Below are 24,262 nucleotides of genomic sequence, written 5' to 3'. Positions count from 1 at the left end.
GACTGGATTTGTCGGTTATAAGAATTTTTTTTTAACTGAAATATGTCCATGGAGCACAGTGCAAGGGGGTATAAAATGGAATGTCCTGAGTTTATTGGCACTTGTGACCCAAACTAAAAGTCTCAATGTCTGTGCTTTTGTGCAGCTGGACAATCCAGATGAGCAAGCAGCCCAGATCAGACGAGAGCTGGATGGACGTCTACAAATGGCAGACCAAATAGCCAGGGTAAGGAAACATTGTGGTTGTTTGCTGGGGTCCAGGCCAAAGTCCCACTCAGGAAGCACATTGATTATTGACAGCCTCTAAAGGATAAAGCTGAGAAGCAGAGAGGAGGGAAGATGAGGACAATCACCCTCATTGGGCCCTCAGCCCTCCTTTCTCAAGGCAAGCTCTCCCAGAGATACCTCATGCATTTCCTATGCTCCAGTGAATACCCAAGCTCAGACCTCCAACATTCCTTCTGAGTTCCAGACACATAGCTCCAACAGTCTACTGAACATTTCCACTTAAACATTTTCCTGGCATTTCAGGTTGAATGCCTTCAAAATCTAGCTCCTTGTCTTCCTCCCACCCCACACACATAACTATATTTACTCCTCTTCTCTTGTTCTATATCCAATCACTGTGGATGAAACCTCCTAGCCATTGTCAGTTTCTCCTTTCTCCCTGCAATGTTCCACACTCAGTCAGCCACCCTGCCTCCAGTGACTGCCTCTTAAATGTGGGTCAGATCTCTTGACTGTTTTCCAGCCCTACTACTGGTGCTTTGATCCAGGCCCTCATCTTCAGCACCTGGATGTTACAATAGCCTCCCAATGGGTATCCCTGGCTGCAGTTCCCCCATTTTCTATCCATCCTGCACACAGTTGCCCGGATAAAACTCATATACAAACATCTCAAAACAGAGCCTCAAAATCCTTCAATAGATTCCCTCATTGCTCCCAGGACAAAATCTAACCTCTTTAGAATGATAATCAAGACTCTTAACCAACAGACTCTACCCTTTCATTTTAGCCTCACCTTGCACAACTTTCCCACCGGAACTCCCGAGTCCAACTACAGAGAATGTCTCCCTCCAAATATACCAGGCCCTTTCCAGGCTTGGTGTCTTTATACCCACTGGTGTCTCAACCTGGAGTAACCATGTTTCTCCCCTCACTTAGCAAACTCACCTACTCAGCCTTCAGTACCTGACTTAAAACACCTTCTCTAAGAGCTTAGCAGTTAGTCCTTTCCACCTTTGTGTTCCCGTCAGATCGCATATCAACCTTTATTATAGCAGCTCATCGAATGGTGATCATTTATTTACATGTCTGAGTCTCCCAGTATATAGAACTCCTCAAGGGTTGAGGTTATGTCTTACTGTTGATGACTACAGCTAAGTGTTATCTACCATTATTGCTATCCCTGCCATCTCTGATATTATTAATAGTAGTCATGCCAGTCATATTAGTTGAGTGCTGATTCTGTGTCTAGCATGCTAAATGCTTCACATGTACCAACTCAGTCAATCCTCAAAACAGCCCTCCAAGGATATTTCAGTTATCATTCTTGGTTTAGAGATGGGGAAGTCCAGGTTGAACCTGCTGGGCACCAGCAAAGAGATTGTGGCACACCCTCAGCTCAGGTCTGTCTAAATATCAGGGCTGGCACCGGGCTTATGTCAGGCACAAAATTTAAACGGGCCTCCGTTAATCAAAATAAACTATTTTAGTAAAGTATTTTTCAATTACAATTAATACCAAAAAAATCCATGAAGAATAAAATATAAAAATTGTAAATAGCATCAGGCTCCTGATGATTCCTACTGTATTCACAGGCCCTGTGGGCATATGAGGGTGGGGGTTATTAGAAACAGCAGGGAGGGTGGGCACAGGGTAGAGCTTTTCACTTTATGGAAAGAGGTGTCTCCAGACTTGGAGGTATGGAAAAGAATCCTACTGGAGGAGAAGCCAGAGAGATTCCAAGAAGCATCAAAATCCCCCTGTGCTTAAGCAGTTTTACTGAAATGTTTTGCATCTTGTTTTTGGACACCTTTAAAGTTTATAATCAAGTCAGCCTGGTGGCTAAAAATAGTATGCGCTTATGGATTTGGCTAAAGGTATTATAAAAGGTTACGCTTTAAAATCCCACTTAATGTGACAGTAAACATTAATAAAGCTTTAGAATTTACTTCTCCTGTAAAAATGTTTCCTACTGGTGGATTATCCAGAAAATGGAGGTCATTTGGTCCATTCATCTGCATTTTAGACAACGAGTATATTCCCAACTAAAAAGTATTCATCCCATCTAAATAAAAATCACACACACCTCAAAAACAAGCTCATGGCACCTTTAATTTACTTGCTTTGTTTACTTTAAGGCTTAACATGATAATTTAAGAAACTGGTGTTAGGCTAATTTTAATTTTTAATAGAACCTGGATGAGCCAAGATGCTCATCTCTGAATAGTAAATCAAAGAACTCTCTCCCCCAACCCCCACCACTAAATATTCTGAAGCTAAATGAGATATTATTAACAACTTAGACCTAAGCATTCTTAGACAATGAAGTAGGCAATTAAAGTGGATCTTGATTATTATTTACAGAGCACGGAAAATGATTTCAGTATATATGGAGGGTCCCTGTCTAGGGTATTGAGGGTTTCTATGAGATAGAGTGCCCTCTACTGTCTCCTGTTCTTTCAGAAATTGACTGTCTTCTGCAATGTTCGTTCATGCCAGTGGCCCCCTTGCTATATAGCTAACTGGTCCTGGAGTGAGCTCTTCTTCACCCAGGTGGAAGCAGTCAGTTTCCAGCCTGCCCTGGCCACACGTGATTGGTCCAGAAATGGAAACTTGATGCAAACTAAACCAATGAATTCCTTCGTAGGGCCTGTGGACTGTGGGTCAGCAAGGCTGTTGTCTTCCAGTGGTAGAAAGATACCTGTAGCAATGTGCACTTCTTCCATATAGGGAAAAGATGATGAGAAAATAAAGCCAACACATAGAAACAGAGACAGAGTCTACACTGAGATGTCAAGGAGCCCACAATCCTGAGGACATCCGTTTAAGTCCCCGATTGTAATTATTCTTAAGCTTCAGCCATGTACCTGCTTTTCCCTCAGCTTAGTTGGATCCCAAGAAAAATAAATTCTCCCCTTGCCTAAACCAGCCTGGCTAATACTGATGAAAATTGTGAAATATCTCCTCCACTAAATATTAAATAAAATATCAAGATCTCGGATATTGGCTAGTTCATGAAGAGATATTAAGACAAATCACCTCTGCTTATCTTCTTTTTAGCATGCCCCGATTTTTCTATTTCCAGCATCACAGTGAATTTTCGTGAGGATGTGCAATTCAACCCATATGGCTGAATGTCAGCTCCTGTAAATATCATAACCAGAAATTCCTGGATATAGATGTCATCCATCATATGTAACTCACTCCGTTCTCTGAATTAAAAGATGGGTAGAGCACTTTTGATTGCAAATAAGAGGCACCAACTCAAGCAAGCTTATGTAAAAGAGGAGATCGGAGACGGAGGACTACTTCACAGAACCTGCAGAGAAACTGCAGCCAGAACCCAAGAAAGAACAACCAGGGCCTGCAGAGTGATCAGGACTCTCCCTGCATCTCCCATCTCCATGTGTCACATTCATTATCATTTCTTTCTTATCCCCTGCAAATTCACAATGCTAAGAATCAGAACTCTCACTGGCCCAACTTGGTTCAAGGGCCAACCCCTGGTGCAGTTAACCAATCTACAATGGAAAAAGGGGTGAAAGTCTCGTTGAATACATGGATGCTGGGGATATATCATTTAGGGTGAGGGTGGGAAGAAGTGGGGCTGTGGGTGGAGTGGACATTATGAATTGGGAAGCACTCCAGATGTACCCAATAGTAATAACTATCACTTACCTAGTGTTTTCCTATGTGCCAGATACTCTTTTAAGCATTTTACATCTGAGAATCTAACCCTCCAACAACCTAATGAGAAAGATGCTATTATTATCCCCATTTCACAGATGAGGAGGCTAAAGCAGAGACATTAGAGAATCTGACCAAGGTTCTCTAATGAGTCTGCACTCTTAACCAGTATGCATACTATCATTGCAAAATATATTCCCAGATATAGGCCCTCACTTTCCCCCTCATACCAATCCAAGGATCCATTATGCCCTTTACTCAGGCTTTTACCTTGCCTCATCCTGAACTCTCTCTCTGCTAATCAGTCCTTTATTAAATGTGTCAGTCAGACACTGGCTGTGCAATTCACATAAAATCTCATTTAGACCCGTGATGAACAATCTTTGGCGTTACATTAATTCTCCCAAGTATAGGCAAATCAAGAAGTGTACACATGTTCAAGTGCACACAACTACTATGCAGAAAACTGAGTTGTCTAATTCCACGTTTCATGCTATTTCTTTAGAATACTCAGAAGAAAGGCAGGAAGTTACTCCAGGACAGGACTCCCCCAATTCTTCACTCCCTGCTGGTTCCCCCTCCTGGAAACTGCTTTCTTTTCTCCACTAGAAGTTGCTGTGTGTTCCCTGCAGCTTATCCAGAAGCCCATATGAAGCAGCAGCATTAGGCAGATTTGGCTCCTAGAATTCAGAATCCTCTCTATTTTGATTTTTTTAGAATCTGGAAAAGATATTGTAGGGACCCTGGTTATTTTGCCAGCAGCATTCTCATCATCACATATTTCCACTGAAAGACATGTCTGTCCTCTCTTCCTAGGAGGGAAGGGAGGCAAAAGCAAGCTGACTTTTCCTTACCCACAACCTTGCAGTGTAATCTGTCAGTTCAATCGCACCAGCATCTCACGAATCATCAGACAGAGACGGCTGCACAAGAACATCAGACAGAGATGGTCTCACTGTGAACATCAGTCATGCTGCCTTAAAAGTTCCAGAAAGAAATATGAATGCATTTTTTAAAATCTGGTAGAAAAGACTTGGTAATCCCTGCTCAAACATTTTCCCAAATCCTCTCATGTTGATATTAAAGTGTTCCCAAATTTCACCCAGGAATTAAGTCTAAGTTATTTAAATTGTGTGATCAAAAGTTGACATTTGAGCTTAAGCAGACAGATTGTGGCATTAGTGCTGCTGTGATATTTGCCAGTTCTTTTGGCCGAATTTTAGTGTAAAATTCCAAAATTATTGAGCTAATTATTTAAGACAAATCATACAGCTTTTGTAGTGTCAGTGGCAGAGGTCTGGGAGTAAAACACCATTGGTTCTTCAAGCCGTCGTTTTAAATATGAAAATGCCACTTAGACCCGTATTCTACACAGAGCACAATTAGTAGCTCATATCCTGGCCCTATTGCAAATATCAGTAAGAAATAATATCCAAATATTTATCTGATGGAAAAGTTCTGTTCCACACATTGCCATAAACCAGATACAAATGGAATCCTCTCCTACCAGAGAAAGATACTAACCCCCAACTTTCAAACTAATGTTGGACATGGCACCCATGCTGTGTTATGAAGTAACATAAGTGTCCAGCACATAGTAGGAACTTCTTTCAACTTGTTGCCTGAACAGTTAAACAAAATGTGTGTGCAGGGATCCCCTCTCTGACTCTGGCCTTTGTCAATAGCTAAAAATCCTGGGAAATCTGAGCTCACGGAAAAATATAAATGCCAGGGGGGTCCTCTGAAGCTTGTTCAAGTGGAAGGAAGTCCATCTAGTTCATAAAAGCTGAGGAAGTAAGACCAATTGGGTAAATAAGCTGGCCTAGAAAACTATAATGCCTGAGCCCAAAGTGCCTTTTAATGTCTGCAATGCCTATTTTGACAAATTAATACCAAGACCTCTTTCTCTCATTTAACCTGCTGACCCCATCCTCATTACTCCCTGTGCTTAATCCTACAGAGTGCACATTGTCTGGGTAATGGTGGAATGGCCATTGCTGTGGAGGGCTCAGCCATCACCAGCCTTCTGCTGACCAGGATGAAAGGAGATGATGCATACAGGATGCACCATGCAGAGAGAACCCCCAGAGTTGCCTCAGCTCTATAGACATTTGGAGCCAGATAGTTCTGCCTTATCCTATCATAGCTAAGAACAAAAACTCTGCTAGGTTTCAAGTTTAACTCTAGTAACTATTGCTTAACACTTCTGCCTCATTTTCTTCCAAAAAATAGGGATAAATAGAAGCATGTGCATCAGTGGGTTGTTGGAAGGATTAGATAAGGTAAAATAAAGCATGTAAAGTTTTCACCTAGTGTCCAGCACATAGTTAGTACTCAGTAAGTGCCAACTAACATTATTATCTTTACTATAGGCACCATCATTATTAGTACTATTGTTGTTTGTAGTGGTGGTGGTAGGAGCATAGTGCTTGCAAGGGGTGTATGTGTGTAAAGAGAGGCTGTGTGTGTCAGTGATCAAAACATATTCATGTTATGATCTCTACTTTTCACAATAATTCTGTGAGGTTTATTATCCTCATTTCAAATGTGGGAACCAAAATTCAGATGGGTGAAGAAATCTGTCCAAACTTACAAAGCTAGTAAGCAGCAGACCCAGCATTCAGGGTCGAGTCCGTTTCACTGTCATGGACTGGATGAGTTCCTTGATGCCCTCTTTGTACTCTGCACGCCTCTGTTGCTTCATGTGTCACTAACTGGTCACTTTCTGGCATGTCCCCCCATACCATCACCTCTCGGCTGGTTTTCTCATCTCCAGTGACAGCCATACCAACCTGACACATGACAGAAGCCCAGGAAGTGTCTGAGAGATTGGATTAAATAGCTGCAGCACTGTCAGTGAGCTCCAGTGTCTAGCACCGGCCCTTCTGTCACATTCCTCCTTCTGATCACCCACCAACTTTGTCATTTGAGTCTTTGGGGTCTAGGGAACCTCACTCTGAAGGGGGGCAGCCTTGTCATCATTTATACATACCCCATTCATCCTCTCTGGGTAAAAATCCAAAACCAGAAAAGAAAAGCCAGCAGCCAAGGGAGGCATTAGAACTTTCAAATGCTATTTTTAAAGATGTTCCAAAATCCCTCAGAGCATAAATAACCCTAGTGGGAATTGTCCTTGGGAGGCTGTCTCCACTGAGGAATGTTATCAGCCCAAAACAAAAATAAATGGCCAACAGAGATTTTTTTGGAGGACTTTGCCCACCCATACGCTATGTTTCTCATAAAGCAATATGAATAAACAATTCTTCTGTCAAGGCTGATCTATTTTTGTGCTTGAAAAAGTAGCAATGGAGATGGACGACTGCATTTTCCTTATTTTGGCACAAGTTCAGCTTTGAAATGTGTTTGCAATGGGTCTGCCACTGAAAAACTCCACTCAAGAAACTCAGCCTGGATTGACAGTATGCTATTTCTTCCCAAGGCTTAAGTCCTTGCACCAGAAAAATGTCCTTGTTTTCCTTGCAGACTTCAGTTTTTATGAGCCTCTTTTTATGATGTCATTAGGAACTGTCCAAGTTCTGGGAGGAGTGATCATTCTTTGGATTTTCCCAATATTTTGCTAGATAGAATTTGGTGGAGCTAACCCTCAGTCAGCATGGTGGCATCTGTAACCACCGGGCCTCCTAAAAAAATCTCAGGACTGTGGAGTTAAAAGGCACTGAGTGAGTCCCTAAGATAAGTTGTGATAGAAGGAACCGCACTTGACAAGACAGTCTCTCAAAATTGATTAGCAAGAACCCACTTCACAAACGCTAGCTATTTTCTTCATCCTCCTGGCAACTACCAAGCCAGCAACTGGCATTAAAATCAGAAATTCCCCACTTACCAAGTTCCCCCACCCACACCAAATACCATGTAGTTCACTGAGGTTTTGGCCCCAGTATGAGGAGGCAAGATACAGGTCAGTGTAATGAGTTTCAGGCTCTTGGGATGTAACCTTTGTTCCGTGACAGCCTTTAATGGGGCCTAAGGACTACTCTCAGACCATGAGTTAACCTACCTCACTCTTCCCTTCACTCTCCAGAGAGGCCATATTCCAAGAAATATGAGGAAATATTGTGTGGCTATGTAAAGTTGTATACACCTTCTTGGATTCATGGTTGCCTACAGTATTTTCCATGGGAAGGAGAAAAGAGCAGTGGCCCTATCTCAGCCAACTCAACCTGGTGGCAAACTCTTCTTTATCCATCAGACCCTCATCCCAAAGGTCACCACCTCTGGGAAGCCACCCTTGATTCTCTCAGGAAGGATTTGCATCACATTATACTTCCATTACAGTACCTACCTTGATGTTCTGTTATAGATCTTTCTCCCCAGTAGCTGTAAGCTCAAGGAAGACAGTTTACATCCTCTCAACATGATCCCCCTAGTGCCTAACTCTGTACCATATACAGTGTTTGTGGCAGTAAATGTTTTCCAAGTGATGGGGACCCAGCAGCCAAGTCCTCGCATCTTGACGGTTTTTCATAAAAGAAATCCAAGTTCTGAGGTTCACACTTGTCCCTGATCAAGTCCAAGAATGACAAAATTTCAAGGCCACTGTGCAGGAAGTTTTAGAGAAATACAACGTTTGAGATTCTTTTGTGATGAATCATTAGTAGCTCTTGTCAAGATCATCAGCCTGTCATCTCATTTCAGAAGCATCCATCCTGCTCTTTCCCTCACATTCATGCACAGCGTGTTTAGAAAGCACCACACAGTGAGCTTAGCCCAGTCTTAAAAGCAGGACGTGATTATACTAAGAAGTTCCAGAAGGAACTGGTACTGTGACGTTGCGGAGTGGATTTCAGACCCCCATATTTTATTCACATGGAAAAGCAGAATCTCGGTGTTCTTTCAGAACTTAATTTATCATCTATCTACCTCCTCCTCACAGCTGAATTTTAGCTACATTGATATTTAATATGGGCATTTTTGACAAGTCATTGATCTATTCACTCAATTCATATGTATTGAATACTTATTATGTGCCAAACTTTATGCTAGACACAGAAAATTCAACAGGAGTATTAAGATAGATATGGTCCTGAATCATTGCCCAGCAGGAAAGACAGAAATTAAACAAATTCCACAATTGATTGATTAATTATAATTATAACAAGTGTCTTAGTCTATTCAGGCTGCTATAACAGAATGCCATAGTTGACATAAACAAGAGAAATTTGTTTCTCACAGTTCTGGAGGCTGGGAAGTTCAAAATCAAGCCACCATCAGATTCAGTGTCTGATGAGGGCCCACTTTCTGGTTCATAGGCAGCTGTCTTTTTACCAGGTCCTCACATGCTGGCAGGAACAAATGAGCAGCTCTCCGAGGCCTCCTTTATACAGGCACTAGTTCCATCATGAGGGCCCTCATGATCTAATCATCTTCCCAAGGCCCATCTTCAAATACCATAACATTGAGGGTTAGATTTCAACATATAAATTAGGCAAGGACACAAACATTCAATCCATTTCAATAAATGCTACCAAGAAGGTAAGTTAGCAAATACAACAGGAGGACCCAACCCAGGGAAGTGAAATTTTGAAGCTGAAATATGGAAGATGAAAACAAGGCTGTTAGTTATGCAGGGAGATAGGGAGAGAGGGGAACAAGACTTATGACAGCCTTCATGTAGGAAGGAGACTGGCACTGGACCAGCACAAAGACATCTCCAAGCTCTATGGAGAAGAAGCACTCTCCGTATTTGACTGAAGCTGTGAGATGGCAAGGAAGAAAAACCCTTTTAACTAACAGTGGGTGGGGGAATTACTGAAAGAAAAATAAATTCTTAAGGAACAAAATTACAGGAGAAATAACTAGTCCTGTGGAAATTAGAAAATGATAAAAGTCAGAGTTCCTTTCTGTAACTCTAGAAAGCATCTTTCTTTTCTTTTCTTTTCTTTTCTCTCCTCTCCCTTTTCCTCCCTCCTTCAGTCCCTGCCTCCCTTACTTCTTCTCTCTCTTTGTCTCTACCTCTTTCTCTCTCTTCTTTGTTAAGTGTCTTATTCTGCTTTGACCTGATCCAGTGTGGCAGCCAACCCTGAGTCTGTAAGATGTTACTGTTTCAGTTCTACCAGCCAATTGCAGTCTCAATGTCTCTCAGTCTAGTTCAACTGCTTGACAGAGTAAATCTGATTGATGACAGGGCACTAATAAAATTAGTTGGTTCATCTTGACTCAGATGCCCATATGTTACACAGCTTATTTTTTTTTTTTTTTTTTTTTTTTGGCCACACAGAATTGGCATACCAATTCATGTTCCATGGGATCTAGGTGGGGTTCTACTCCCAGCCACAAGGACAGAGGACATAAGCTATGCCTATGCACATCAGCACAGCATATTACTGGCCATAGAAATTGGCCAGTAATATGGCCAATTGGACATGTACTTAAGTTAGACTTTGGGTGAGAATTTGGGGATGAAAGACTGTCTCCATCTTCCTTGCATATTACAAGAGGAAATATTCACTTTTCCGTTAGATAGCATGATGTGATGTTGTGCAGTCCACATCTTTAGCAACATTTCTGTGAAGATAGGGGAGCCAAACTGAGCATGAAGCCACCCCAGAGGAACCAAAGCCAAGATTTTAACAAAAATCTCAGTTGTGGTGATATCACCTGAGCCCTGATTCCAGCCTTTCCTGAAGCTGGGTCTACCCCAGGATATTTTCTTTTGTTGTTTTAAGCCAGTTTGAGGTGGATTTTTCTGTCACTTGCAAAAAAAAATAAAAATGTCAAACTGACTTGGCTTGCTTCTCACTCCATCAGTTATGGAATAGGGCTTGGGGAGGGCAAGTTTATGTTTCAAGTGGTAAATGACTGTTTGGGAAGGTGATTGATCCAAAGCACATTCCAGGTGACTTAGAAGTATGAAGAAACAAATAGCATGGTTAGCACGTGTTGCAATTACAACTAAATGTATAAGCAAGAAAGGAAAAAATAGAGGTCAGTTATGATACCAAATTGCTCTATCTTCTAAAGAATTTTAATCACATTTTTCATCACTTCATTAATTTGGTTCAATTTTTCTTGAAAACAGTAACTATTATTCTTAGAAATAGACACAGACTATGTTTGAAACCTCTCAAATGAGCTCCTTTTGAATTATTCATGTGAGAAAATCTCTGTAGATATCCAGAAATAGGGTCTCTTTCTGTTTCCCTCACTTAAAAACAAATGACTGCATTTTACTAAAAAGAAAAACTAAACTGAAACCATATTTGAAAAATAACACCCCATTTTTCTTCCTACAAATCAAATTTGCTGAAGGAAACTGGGGAAAAATAGAACTGTAATAAAGCATTTCAATGTTTCTTACTATATGTTTATGTACGTGTTTCTTACCTGTTACAATGTATAAATAACTAGCAGGCAGGCAGCTGTCTACTCAAATAGGCTGAACATTTTTCTAGCACAAGGCCATGAGATCTGGGTGAATTTCACTAGTAGTAGATGTGATTCTAACTCTGGGCCATGGGACAAAGACCTTCTTTATAAATCAGCTTTCTATTTTCTCCTCTGCTCATACTTTTCTTTTTCTTCCCAAGGAACGCAAATTTCCCAAGTTTGTATCCAAAGAAATGGAAAACATGTACATTGAGGAGCTGAAGTCATCTGTCAACCTGCTCATGGCCAACTTGGAGAGCATGCCGGTATCCAAAGGCGGGGAGTTCAAGCTCCAGAAACTCAAACGCAGCCACAATGCTTCCATCATCGACATGGGCGAGGAGAGTGAGAACCAGCTCTCCAAGTCAGATGTCGTGCTGTCTTTCTCATTGGAGGTAAAAAGCCCTGAGCCCTTGAAAGTTTCTTGGCACAGCAAGTAGGACATGGGCGATTAGATGCGTCACAATCAGCTTGTTTTTTCTGTTGCACCCCAGGAGCAGTTATTAAAATAACAGCATGCTAAGCTTAGGTCAGCTAATCAGCAAGTGATTCCCCATCTCCAGGAGCCCACATTTTTCTTAAGGAAATGCAATCTGAAAACCACCTACTAAATTTAATCTTGCATTACTTTCTGTCTTAAAACAGTGCTCAAGGATTTTATAAAGACCTTATATAATTTAGAAAGTTAAAAATTTTGGCAGCCAGTTTTACAGTTATAAGAGAGGCAAGCTAGCATCATATTGTGGTGAGCTGTAAATTTTCTTTCCCATCATCCTTCCTGTTGGCTACAAGGTAGAGAGTCCCTTGTGGTGGAGGCTTTTTTAGTTTATCTCAGCTCCCAAAGTAAGTACCCATTCAGGCTAGTATTGTGGCAAAATGCTCAACATGTCAATAAGTTTCTCTATAATTTCTCTTCACACATTTTCTTTTCATATGTATATAATCTAAGGAGTAGTTCTGATCTACCTATGTCAGAATTACATGGGAAGGTAGTTCACTATGCAGATTCCTGGGTACCACCCAGATCTACTGAGCTAGGATCTCGAGGGGATGGGAATATAAAATTGTGCAGCCATTTTGGAAAATAGGTTAGCATTTTCTGAAAAAGTTAAACATAAAACTACCATATGATCTAGCAACTCCACTGTCAGATACCCAATAAAAATGAAAACACATGTCTGCACAAAGATTTGACTGTAAATATTTATGGCAGCATTATTTATAATAGCCCAAAATGGAAACAACGTAAATGTTAACCAACTGGTGAATGGATCGACAAAATGGGGTATACCCGTACAATGGAATATGATTCAGCAATTAAAAGGAACAACCCACTGATACATGCCATGACATGGATGAACCTCAAAAATACGCCTGGTGAAAAAAGCCAGGCTTGGCATGGCGGCTCATGTCTATAATCCCAGGACTTTGAGAGGCTGAGGTGGGAGGATTGCTTGAGCTCAGGAGTTTAAGACCAGCCTGGGCAACATAGTGAGACATCTCTACAAAAAAAAAATTTTTTTTAATTAGCTGAGTGTGATGGTGTGCAGCTCCTTGGGAGGCTGAGGTGGGAGGATCAATTTAGCTAGGGAGATCAAGGCTGCAGTGAGCCATAATCATGCCACTGCACTCCAGCCTGGGTGACAAAGAGAGACCCTGTCTTTAAAAAAAAAAAAAAAAAAAAAAAAAAAAAAAAAAGACCACATATTGTATGATTCCCTTGATATAAAAGGTCCGAAAGGCAAATCTACAGAAATAGGAAGTGGATTAATGTTCCCTGGGGCAAGGGGTGAAAAAGGGCATAAGAAATCTTGTTAGGAAAACTAAAAATATTCTAAAACTAATTTATGATGATGGTCATGCAACTTAGTAAATGTACCAAAATCACTGAATTGTGCATCTAAAATGGGTTTATTATATGATATGTAAAACATGCCACAATCAAGTTGTCAGAAAAAAAATTCTAGACAGGATGCAGCCCTGGACTGTATACTTTAACCAGCCCCTACATGCTTCTTATCCACTCCAAAATTTGAGAACCACTTGTAACTTACTAAAGTTCAAAACCCCACAAGGGTTTTATGATAACCCTAGATTTGGGGAGACCAAGAGAAGAGATCAAATTTCTGTGCAGTTGATTAGAATATGTAAAAACTAAATTAATTTTCTAAAACATCATTAAAGCCTGCTGTGAATTAACTGCAGGTAATTTGTTTTTCTGTGCTAAGTTTGGATGGAGATACTCACATTAGTGTTTTCAACATGTATTGTGCAGTTGGAAGAGGCAGTATTCAATTAAATATAGAGTACTTAGTGTGTGAAAAAATCATCCGTGTAATTTCACAGAAACTTTCTTTTTTAAAAAACAATACTGCCACCTGAGGTACTGAATGTATTTTCTTAGGTGTCTGAATTTGATTATTGCCAATTAAAGGTGTCAATTTATTCCCTACTGCCTCTTGTCTTCCTACAGAAACGGGGGGAAAGTGGTTTATTGATTTTCATGAGTATTTTAAATCTGTAATTTTCTTTCCTCTTTTTTTTTTTTTTGACACAACGTCTCACTCTGTTGCCCAGGCTAGAGTGCAGTGGTGCAGGTGCAGTCTTGGCTAACTGCAGCCTCAACTTCCTGGACTCAAGTGATCTTCCCACCTCAGCCAGCCTCCCAAGTAGCTGGGACTACAGGTGCACACCACCAAACCCAGCTAATCTTTGTATTTTTTGTAGAGATGGGGTTTTGCCATGTTGTTCAGGCTGGTCTTCAACTCCTGGACTCATGCCATCTATCCACCTAAGCCCCCCAAAATGCTGGGATTGTAGATGTGCACCACCATGCCCTGCTAAATCTGTAATTTTCTAATTCTTTGTCAGTACTCGATATTACACAGCTGATTATCTGAAATATAGATGTAGACAAGTCCGTACTCCTATGTGTACCTGATTCAGATGGTTTGACTTGTAATTGAAAGTACAGAAAGAAATGTCCTAGGATCCCCAAATACTTTTTAAATAGAACACTGAATTGCACATCATAGAAAACTGCCAGCAAAAACCATTGCACATCTGTTTGTGAATGTGTTTTGGTGGGCACAATGAGGGCAGGCAAGAAGAGGGAGAAAGGATTGTCATCTCATCAGGGCAGACTAGGATTTGAATTTGCAGCTTGGTGCAAGTCATATTTTACATAATTATACACTTGCATGGCTGGAGGGGCCACCAGGTAGTAAATAACTTTGCAGTGAGGGAAGGAAGGTCCAGGGTGCCCAGTAGCCAGGCCTTGGGCAAAGGACAAAGGGCAAAGGGCATGTGCTAACAGAAAGCAACAGGTGTTTGTAGAATGCCACTGTGGGCCAGGTGCTTTTTCATCATAACACAGTGAATCCTCACAATAGTCTTTTCAGGTATTTGCAGGTGTAGTAACTAAGCCTCAGAGAGGTTGAGAAACCTGCACGTGATTACACAGCTTGTGAAAATGCATAATCAGGATGTGAAGTCAGATATTTTAAATTCCAAAATTTGTGCTCTTTCACTGTGCCTTCCATTTCTTTCTATTTATATGGTTCTTCCCAATGTAAAAATGTTCACTTATGTGCATCGTCTCATTTGATCCTCACACAACAGCCACGGGATACATATTTTTATTCCCACTTTACAGATCAGGAAACAGGCCCTGGAGATTTGAAAGAAAAATGAAGTGACTTCAACATCAAATCATTTGCCCAACATCACGCGAGTAGTACAATGGTTTTGAAAGTATGGCTTCTGGGTCAGCAGCATCAGCATCACCAGGAAAATTGTTAGAAAAAGAAAGTCCTGGGCTCCAACCCAGGCCTACTGATTAGAAACTCTGGAGATCATAGAGCCTAGCAATCTCTAGTTTAACAAGCCCTATAAATGATTCTGATTCACATTAAGTTTGAGAACCAGTAGCAAAACTGTGACTTGTGGAATCCTGGTTCAATGCTAACCCTATTGTACTTTCTTGAATCTGATCCACTAAGGAAGTATTCATTTTTTGCGCACTCACATTCTTCTTCTTGTGTAATACCATTACCTGTTTTGGAGTACAACTGAATGATTTTTTCATGTATAAGGACTAATTGTATATCTCTGATGTGAGTCATTTGTTTCAGATTTTTAAATTGATCTCTTTCTTCTCTGCTTTCTGCATTCTTCTCCCTCCCCGGTCTCTTGTGACAAGCCATACTGTTAAATATCAGAATAGTAGGTGATTACGTGGAGTTTGGGGAGGTGGTAGGAAGTGCCAGAAACTGTAAATGATACATCTTGATCCATCATGACACCGGCTTTTTCTCTCAGTCTGGACCAAAGACTATGCAGCTGCAGACATGTTTTTGTTTTGACTCAATAATATTGGCCTGTACAGAGTTTGTGTATTTTATTTCTCCCTATTTGAATTATTGTCAGCATTTCAAAATCAGCTTTCTCACTGTGACTCTGATTCAGTTTTTCATTTTCTGGAAGGCAAAATTGGAGTATCTGGTAACTCTAAAGTGAGAAAAGACAAGGCAACAACGGGTTGTAACTGGCAGCTGCTCCCTTCAGAAGGAGCATGTGCTCTCCAGTTTGTCATAGTCCCTGCTAATCCCTGTTGCATCTCTGAATCTAATGCTGAATAGTACTTGCCCTTTATTTTAGTATTTGCACTATTACTTATCTTATTGTGAAGCAAAAAGTGAATTTATGAGCCTGTGGCTCTTTAAAGTGCTGAACCAAAAGCCAGACTATTTTTAAAGAAAATAAGAGCCTGGCCGCGCGTGGTGGCTCACGCCTGTAATCCCAGCACTTCAGGAGGCTGAGGCGGGCGTAGTGCCTGAGGTCAGGAGTTCGAGACCAGTCTAGACAGAGTGATAAAACTCTGTCTCTACTAAAAATACAAAAAAAAAAAATTAGCTGGGCATGGTGGCGTGCACCTGTAATCCCAGCTACTCAGGAGGCCGACGCAGGAGAATTGCTTGAACCAGGGAGGTGGAGGTTGCAGTGAGCCGAGATCACGCCATTGCACCACTCCAGCCTGGGTGACAGAGCGAGACTCCATCTCAAAAAAAAAAAAAAAAAAGAGCCAATTCCTTGGTAGAAATGAAAAACTGATCTTATTTGCTTAACACAGAAAGAGTAGCCCATTTTATATGCCTGTCTGGCCCCTGTGAGCATTTGAATTGGTGAGCCTTGTCTTTCTATCTGGCAGGCAATCAGCTACACTATGAGGAATTGCATCTTCGTGCTAGACTGGTCCCAGCATGACTGGTACAAACCTAACAGAAGCCATCAGATACCTGTTGGTTTTCTCTGTAGCTTCTCATTTGTGTATTTTCCTCTGGGCGATGCTGCCAGGGGCCTTGCCAATAACCTCCATTATGTGGAATTCTCTTTTCAGGTGGTAATTATGGAAGTCCAAGGCCTCAAATCTTTGGCTCCAAATCGCATCGTATATTGCACAATGGAGGTGGAAGGAGGAGAGAAACTACAGACTGATCAGGCCGAGGCTTCTAAACCAACGTAAGTTATGTTTCTCCAGGGTCCATCTTATAGAGGGTTGCTGCCATTAGTTCCATTTTGGCCAACTCCAAGGTAAAGATCTGGTTTCCCCAGAAGATACGAGAAGACATAAACCTTGTTTATTTTTCAAACAAGATGACTTGCCTACATTTTTATTTGGCAGCCACAGCAAAGATTCTAGTTCCTTCAAAGCAGAGAACTGAAGAAAATTAAAGAAACAGTGTCCTTTCTAGTGGTTTTAAGTATTCACCCTCGAGAGATTAGTCACAACTTCCATTCATCAATATAATGTGCAGGAAAGTTTGATATAAGTTTACTTTTATTAAATTTTCTAAATATTTGGTTTTCAGTATAAGACATAAAAATGTTTTCATTTCCATATATTTTTGGGGAACAGGTGGTAATTTGGTTATATTACTAAGTTCTTCAGTGGTGATTTGGGAGATCTTGGTGTCATCACCCGAGCAATATATACTGAACCCAGTTTGTAGTCTGTTATCCGTTACCCCCTTCCCACTCTTTCCCCTGAGTCCCCAAAGTCCATTGTATCATTCTTATTCCTTTGAATCCTTATAGCTTTGGTCCCACTTATTAGTGAGAACATATGATATTTGGGTTTTTGTCTAATTTTTTCCTGTATGTCATAGTTCTGAATGTATTAGCAAGGTAGTATGTTACATAATACATTAATTCATTGGGTCAATACAATTTAGTCAAATGTGTGTGTACAAGGTATTATTGTATGGTGGAAAGGAAAGTAGTCACTGCTGTAGCCCTCCACAGCTCACAGTTTCATGGGGACATCAGAAAGTAATGGCACAAATATATAATTATAAATAGTTATAAATGCTGACAAAGAATGCTTTGAGAGGAGATAGTGGGAGGCACCTGAACCAGTTTGTGAGGACAGATGCAGAATAGGCCTTCCTTAGGACATATGAGGCATTTGAACTAATATTATTAAAGTTGAGCAATGGGAGTGGGGATGGGTGGAGAGCATTCTAGGCAGAGTAAACAGCTTGTGCAAAGGTCCTGTGGTTAGCAAAGGCCCTGGGCAAGGAGAAATTCAAAAGAGGCCAGCAGGGCTGGAGTTTGGAGAATAAGGGGTGGATAAGCTGCCAGAGAGGCAGGCAGGGCCATACCATGAGGAAGTTGTTAGGCCTTGGTGAGGAAAGTATGCATTGGAGATGTATTTTGAAAAGATGACTCTCGCTGCAGTGGATGGGGAGTGGGTGGGCAGGGTTGTGCAGGAGGTCAGTTAGGGTACTGTTTCAGCGGTCCACAGGAGCAATAATGGGTTCATTCATTAGGGTCAGTAGACTCTCAGGCCTCAAAGATTCTTGAGAGATCATTGCTCCCTTCCCTCCCTACCCACTACTTTCCTCTCCCTTCCTTTTCTATCTCAGTTAAGCCCATCTAGACTAATGAGCATCTTTTTGTGTTGGTGTTAATTCATAAGAGAGTCATCAAAAGAGAAACCCTGAACAGCAGCTCACTGCCTCTCCTCCCCCAGAGCATTATGAGCTGTTTGGCAGAACATGAATAATTTGCCAGGATGTTCAAACAAAATAGTTCAAAGAAAGCACGGAATGTTTCCTGGACTAGAGAAAATCTCAGGGCATTGTATACCTTCAAGTGGCTCTTTGCATGAATAGGCAAAAGCCTCAGATGCTCAGAAGCTGGGAGAAATTAATGAGTGTGTACAAGAGGAAATGGAAACCAATGCACCTTGTCACACGTCACCCTTCCTCCCTTTTTTTACAACCAAGTTTCAAACTGACAATAAATGTGGTTTCTTTTTTACTGCCATTGATGAAATCCCAGTTATTCCTCAAATGGTCTGATCGTTTTCCATGCTCTTATGTTATACTGCACTATTTGTGCTTTTTTAAAATGTGTGATACATGGGGGAAGAACAACCTATTTCGTGTTTCTGGCAACCTTTTAAGATGCTGGGCCCAATATGGCGTTATAAGATTGAGAAGGAAGAAGAAAGTTCTGATTATTCTAACAGACTGTTGTTTCATATGAGCTATTATAATTCAAAACATAGTTTGTAACATTCGATCAGATGCAACGGTTTCAGTTACCAGGGTAAATCATGAGTTGATTTTCCTGTGTTTGTAAATGGTTAAAACAGAATTTCAGATTACAAATAATTACAGAATGATTGGGTCTACCTGCATGAAATATTCATGTTTTATACACATACTTACTCATAACTATACATGTGGCTTATGATGTCTATGTACAGAAACAGCTCACATTGAAACATTTTGCTTTTCCAGTAAGAAGTATACATTTTTGATTCCTCTTCAGTCAGTAGGTTGGTTGATTTGTAATACCTTAAGGATTCAGGTTTCATGACCAGGGTCAAGTGAAATCAGTCAGTGGTAGCTACCTGAAGTGCTGTATTGAGAAGGGTTCGAGGCCAAATCCATACTCAGAGGAAAATAGTGCCAAGGTCAACTTGTAACATCTGCCGTGGAAGAGGAAGGAGTACAAGTGCCCTGTATTTGCCATTTCTATAGTATCCCAAAGGGATATACGTGGAGCTTGAAATATACAACACTCGTGTGTCTTCCTCTCTTCCTTTATCCTTTACATGTAGACTCTCCTATATCCTTTACTTATTTTCCTTCTAAATCCACAATTCTGTACTCAATACTCTTTTTAACCATTTTTCTTTGTCACAGTTCACTTCTAGTAGTTTTTCTCTACCTCCAAGTGGTTTTGTTTTGTTTTGTTTTGAGGTTTGGGTTTTGTTTTGTTTTGTTTTGTTTTGTTTTGTTTTGTTTTGTTTTGTCTTTTGAGATAGGGTCTTACTCTGTCACCCAGGCTGGAGTACAGTGGTGCAATCACAGCTCACTGCAGCCTTGGCCAACCTGGGCTCAGGTGATCCTCCCACCTCAGTCTCCTGAGTAGCTGGGACTACAGGCATACACTACCACGCCCAGCTAATTTTTGTATGTTTTTGTAGAGATGGGGTTTCACCATGTTGCTGAGGCTGGTCTCGAACTCTTGGGCTCAAGTGACCTGCCCCCGCCTCATCCTCCCAAAGTACAAGGATTCAGGCATGGGCCACTGCACCTGGCTTGCCTCCAGTTTTATCTGGTAGCATGAACGAGCCTGTTTGTGCAGTTCCATTTTCTTCCTGCCTCCCTAGTTTTAACTTACTCAGAAGCCTCTTCATCATCTCTTTTCTTTGAAGCTTTATTTCTTCTCCTTTTCTCCACCCCTCCCACTTACACTTTCTCCTATTACTAATCTCCAACTGTCATCTCTGCTACTTGATTTTTATTATTCCAGAAATTTTCCTTTCGGGGATTATCTTTAATTTGTCCTAATAACTCCACTTCATCCTCTGACAAGCTTAGCCCTTTTCCTGCCCTATTCATCTTCTGAATCTTGTCTTTGACTATTTTTACAGCCAGCTGGTGCCCATGCTTTATTTATATATTCTAAAACCAAAACTCCATTCAAGCATGTTTTGTTTATTACTCAAATTCCATGGTTGCTGCTACCAAGTACTACACCCCATAACTGGAACCCTAACATTGTGCCATAGCACATGTCTACAAGGAATTTGGCTGTTGTCTTTTTTTTTTTTTCAAGTATAGCCAAAAATTTAGGAGTACATAACATAACCCAATTTGTCTAAGAGTATGTTATTTGGAATCCTCATGTATTGAATTGACATTACACATCCTTCACCTCCTTTTATCAGTGCCATCTCTTCACTTATGGCCAGGACCCTGCTCAGCATCGTCATATTGGATCAGTTGTATAATATAATAACACTGCGTTCATTAGTTAAATATATTAATACTTTGTGGTTGGAAAAAATGGTGTGTGTGGTGAAGGCCGGCAGCCTCTTATACTCTCAGCTAAATTGTGGCCCATACTTATCCTTCAGTTGATCAATCTGTTTGCTACCTGTGGGTTGTTTCCAAGCAGACTATATCCTCTCATTTCTGTTGTCCTCCTCTCCTGCGTTTTTAACATAGAAAGCCAGGAGAATATACGATCAAGTTTTCATGAGACGTACTTATTTTACAATATTGTCTCCATTTGCAATAGGTTGTTTTTGCTTCTGATGGGAAACCAATGGGGATACTTAGGCAGAAGTGCTTGAAATCCTGCCATTAGATCAGCAGCCTCAGGAAGGCAGGGAGATGGAGAAGGAAATGCTTTGGGGATTCCAAAGCATTTGGAATATATTTTCCCACTCTCTTTGAAATAGAGCAGAGGGCTGTTCTTGCTCTAAGGTGATATATTTCAAAGGGTGGCACTCTTACCTTTACTAAGAACAGAGATTATGTTAAGTAATACCAGAAAATGGCATTGAGTGAGATGAAATTATGTGAAAAAGAAGGCACTCCTTTACCATTTATTTTTCAATTCTTCTGATCAGGTCAAGGAGAACATTTTAATTCGATGCTAGTAGGTCATTAACACCTCCACAGGTCTCAGTCTCAGAGCCTTCTGCAGGCAACAGCATCCAGTTAAGATTTCATAGCCTTGTTTAGATCCCATTACGCTTACCTTCCATTCATGGCTGGTGGTGCTGTTTTGTCTTTTGTAGCAATGACATAAGATTTCCTTTTTAAAGAAATACATTAACATTTAAAAAGTGAATCAATTTAAATAAAATATATTAAGTAAATAATAGCACAGGTGGTACCTGGATACAATGAAAAGTAATCATGAAAGTATCTTGGTATACGGAAATGGCAGAGATTGGGAAGATGGTAGGCAAATAAAGTAAATTTGAAAAAAAAATGATGTAAAGAAACCTGACATATTCCCTGAGTAGAAAATATATTCCAAAATTATATTTATTGGTAGTTTTGTATAATGTAAGTTGTCCTCTGTAATAACCATGCCCCAAGGATTAAATACTGGAACACTTAAATAATTTTGCTGAAAAGAAAGGAAATTTGAATTAGCAACCCAGTATTGTGCTAATGTATCTGAAATTATATTCTACTGAATTGAAACCAAAGATGCCACTTGGCATTTGATTATTTAACAAGTTCATTACTCCCTGACAGGCCATGGGCTTCGTGACATATGAATTTCATTATTGCCAGGGATTAGAAAGCACAACCAAACTTGGAAAATTGGTATTTTCCAAGGGAATGAGAAAATAAAATGCCCTAACTGGGATCTTGCCACGGCCCTAGGGTTCTTCAATGACATCTCATCTGATGAGACAAAAGACAAAACCAAAATACAACAACTTCCTGTAACATTTTTCTTCTGTGAAATATATTACTCATCCTAATGGTAGAGTGTAGAATGGGCCAGGCTTATTATACCCAAATTATTCATAGAAATGGAGTTCTATTAAATTGTTCCCACATTAAGTCAGTTACAAAGTCAGAAAAGGAAGTTGTTCCCTCCAGTTGCTTGCCTCATGTATTATCTTCTTAATGGTGCTTCCTTTTTCAATTTAAGCAAAATGTTTTCTGTGTACTGGGCCTTGGAATGGTTTACATCAAGGCAGAATATCTTTCCTGAATGGCTTCTTTGATATTCAAATGTGATACGATGATATGAAAGGGTAGATACTTGCATTCCTTCAGCAAGTGTACACAGGATGCTTTCCTTATGTCCAACCAGTGCTGGGGCTACAGCTGTGAATAACATATCTCAAACCTTGGCCTGTGGATCAAACATTCAAGTAAGGGACATAGGCAATAAACAAATGAACAAATGAATATATAAGGGTAACAACAGATTATAATTTGTGTTCTGAAAGAAATGAGCAGGCTGCTGTGATAGAAAGTAGTGGGGGCATAGGGAAGAGGAAACAGCAAGTGCAAGGCTTTGAGGTAGGGAGGGGCTTGATGTGTCCTGGACCAGAAGGGGGAACAATGTGCCTAGAAATTAGTCATTGAGGGAGAGTGTTTACAGGGAGAGTGCAGAGAGCAGGGCAGGGCCGACAACTTACAGGTCTTAGGGGCCACGCAAAGGGTTTAAACTTTATTCCAAGACCCTGGAGAAGCTATTGGCGGAGTTTAAGCCAGGGAAAATATGATTGTATTTCCATCTTGAAACCTGAAATATCTTTAAGGACTGGAGTAAACTTGGAACCATATATTGGTAAACTAGTATTTATTGAGCACACACTATTTGCCAGGCTTTAGTATTAGAGTGGGGAATAACACAGATACGACCTTTGAAGTTGTGCACCCATGGAGGAGAGTTGATTGGAAAAATCTGAGCGCCTGAGCATGGTCTATATTCCAGGAGCCTCAGTAGCTTTTGAGAACTTCAAAGGCCACTGAATGGGAAAGGGAATGAGGCTTCCTGAGAATCAGCTCCTTTCCTGTCTTGACACTCCATGCTCAAGTTCACAGTCCAGGAGATATTTACGTAGAGACATTATGTAGCGAGAACGTGGAGCTTGGATACTATTTCTTCTGTTTTTTCCTTCCAGAAAAAGGTTTAATTTCTTTCTAAGTTAATTAAATCATAAATGGTAAAAGTCAACACTGACCCAGAAATTAAATTTTGCTAGGCTCCCAGAAGATACGTAGGTTGGGAGAAAGTAAAATTATAATCACACTTTGGGATGCTCAGACACTGTACTGCCTCTCAGACCAGAATGCTTGGTCCAGAATTCCCAATGTTTATTTAAGACCAGTTTGTGTGTGTTTGTGAGCTGGAGGGTGAAGGTGGGCAGACTGCTAGGACAACAGACAGTAGGATAGACAGTGGGAAGGAAGCAAGGTGCTAGGGAACAAGTTTTGGAGAGAGAGCTCCTAATTCTTCTCCAAGCTCCATCATAAATTTGCCAACCTGTGTTATGTAAGCCACCAAGCTTTCCAACTTCTCCAAGTCCTGAAAAGTGGAATCCAAGGTCCCTTCTACCTCAACAATTCTATAATTATTTCATCCAACTAACTGGTCCAGAGAAGAACCATAATGGCAGAACTTAAGACAGAGGTTTCAGGAATTGCAACTGACTCTGAGTTGGTGAAATTTCTGAAATTAGTTGGAATTTCAGAATGGGATGATCAAGTAGTGGCTGGAGTTTGTCAGTTAGACGTTGATACTCCATCTAAACGTGAAAAATCTATAAAAGTTCTGATTTCATGAGTAGTCTAATCTTGTGTAGCTATGAAACAAGGCTGTACTCTTTTTAAAAAAACCCTTAAGGACTAAGTGACTGTAGGTCATTTCCTTTCTGATTCAGCTTCTCTATTACCTTGCCAGAGAAGATTACTTGCCACTTACATCTGGAGTAAATCTAAGAACTGGACTGTTTTTCTATCACTGTTCAGTAGAAATCAAATTTAATACATTTCTCTCCAAATGTGAAAAGCCACTGTATTTTTTATTTAGTGATCAGGGAGAACATAGGAAAGAATGTCATAGAGTTATTTCCCTGTAATGATAGAATGAGGGGGAAATTCTAAATCCTCACTAATAAGAA

The 24,262-nt window shown here is 40.5% G+C and overlaps 1 protein-coding gene across 51 annotated transcripts in view; it reads left to right on the top strand.

Annotated features, from left to right (window-relative positions):
• Positions 1 to 24,262, top strand: part of CADPS (calcium dependent secretion activator) — a 477,069-nt gene that overhangs the window by 212,877 nt on the left and 239,930 nt on the right. For all 51 annotated transcript variants that reach the window (NM_183393.3, NM_001438352.1, XM_011534199.3 and 48 more), the window contains exons 4-6: positions 146 to 226; positions 11,460 to 11,693; positions 16,697 to 16,818. In NM_183393.3, coding sequence (NP_899630.1) covers positions 146 to 226; positions 11,460 to 11,693; positions 16,697 to 16,818 — 437 coding nt within the window. The remainder of the gene's footprint in view (positions 1 to 145; positions 227 to 11,459; positions 11,694 to 16,696; positions 16,819 to 24,262) is intronic.

Source organism: Homo sapiens, chromosome 3, assembly GCF_000001405.40.
Source record: "Homo sapiens chromosome 3, GRCh38.p14 Primary Assembly".
Taxonomy (NCBI): Eukaryota; Metazoa; Chordata; class Mammalia; order Primates; family Hominidae; genus Homo; species Homo sapiens.
This window is presented reverse-complemented; position numbering and strand designations above follow the sequence as displayed.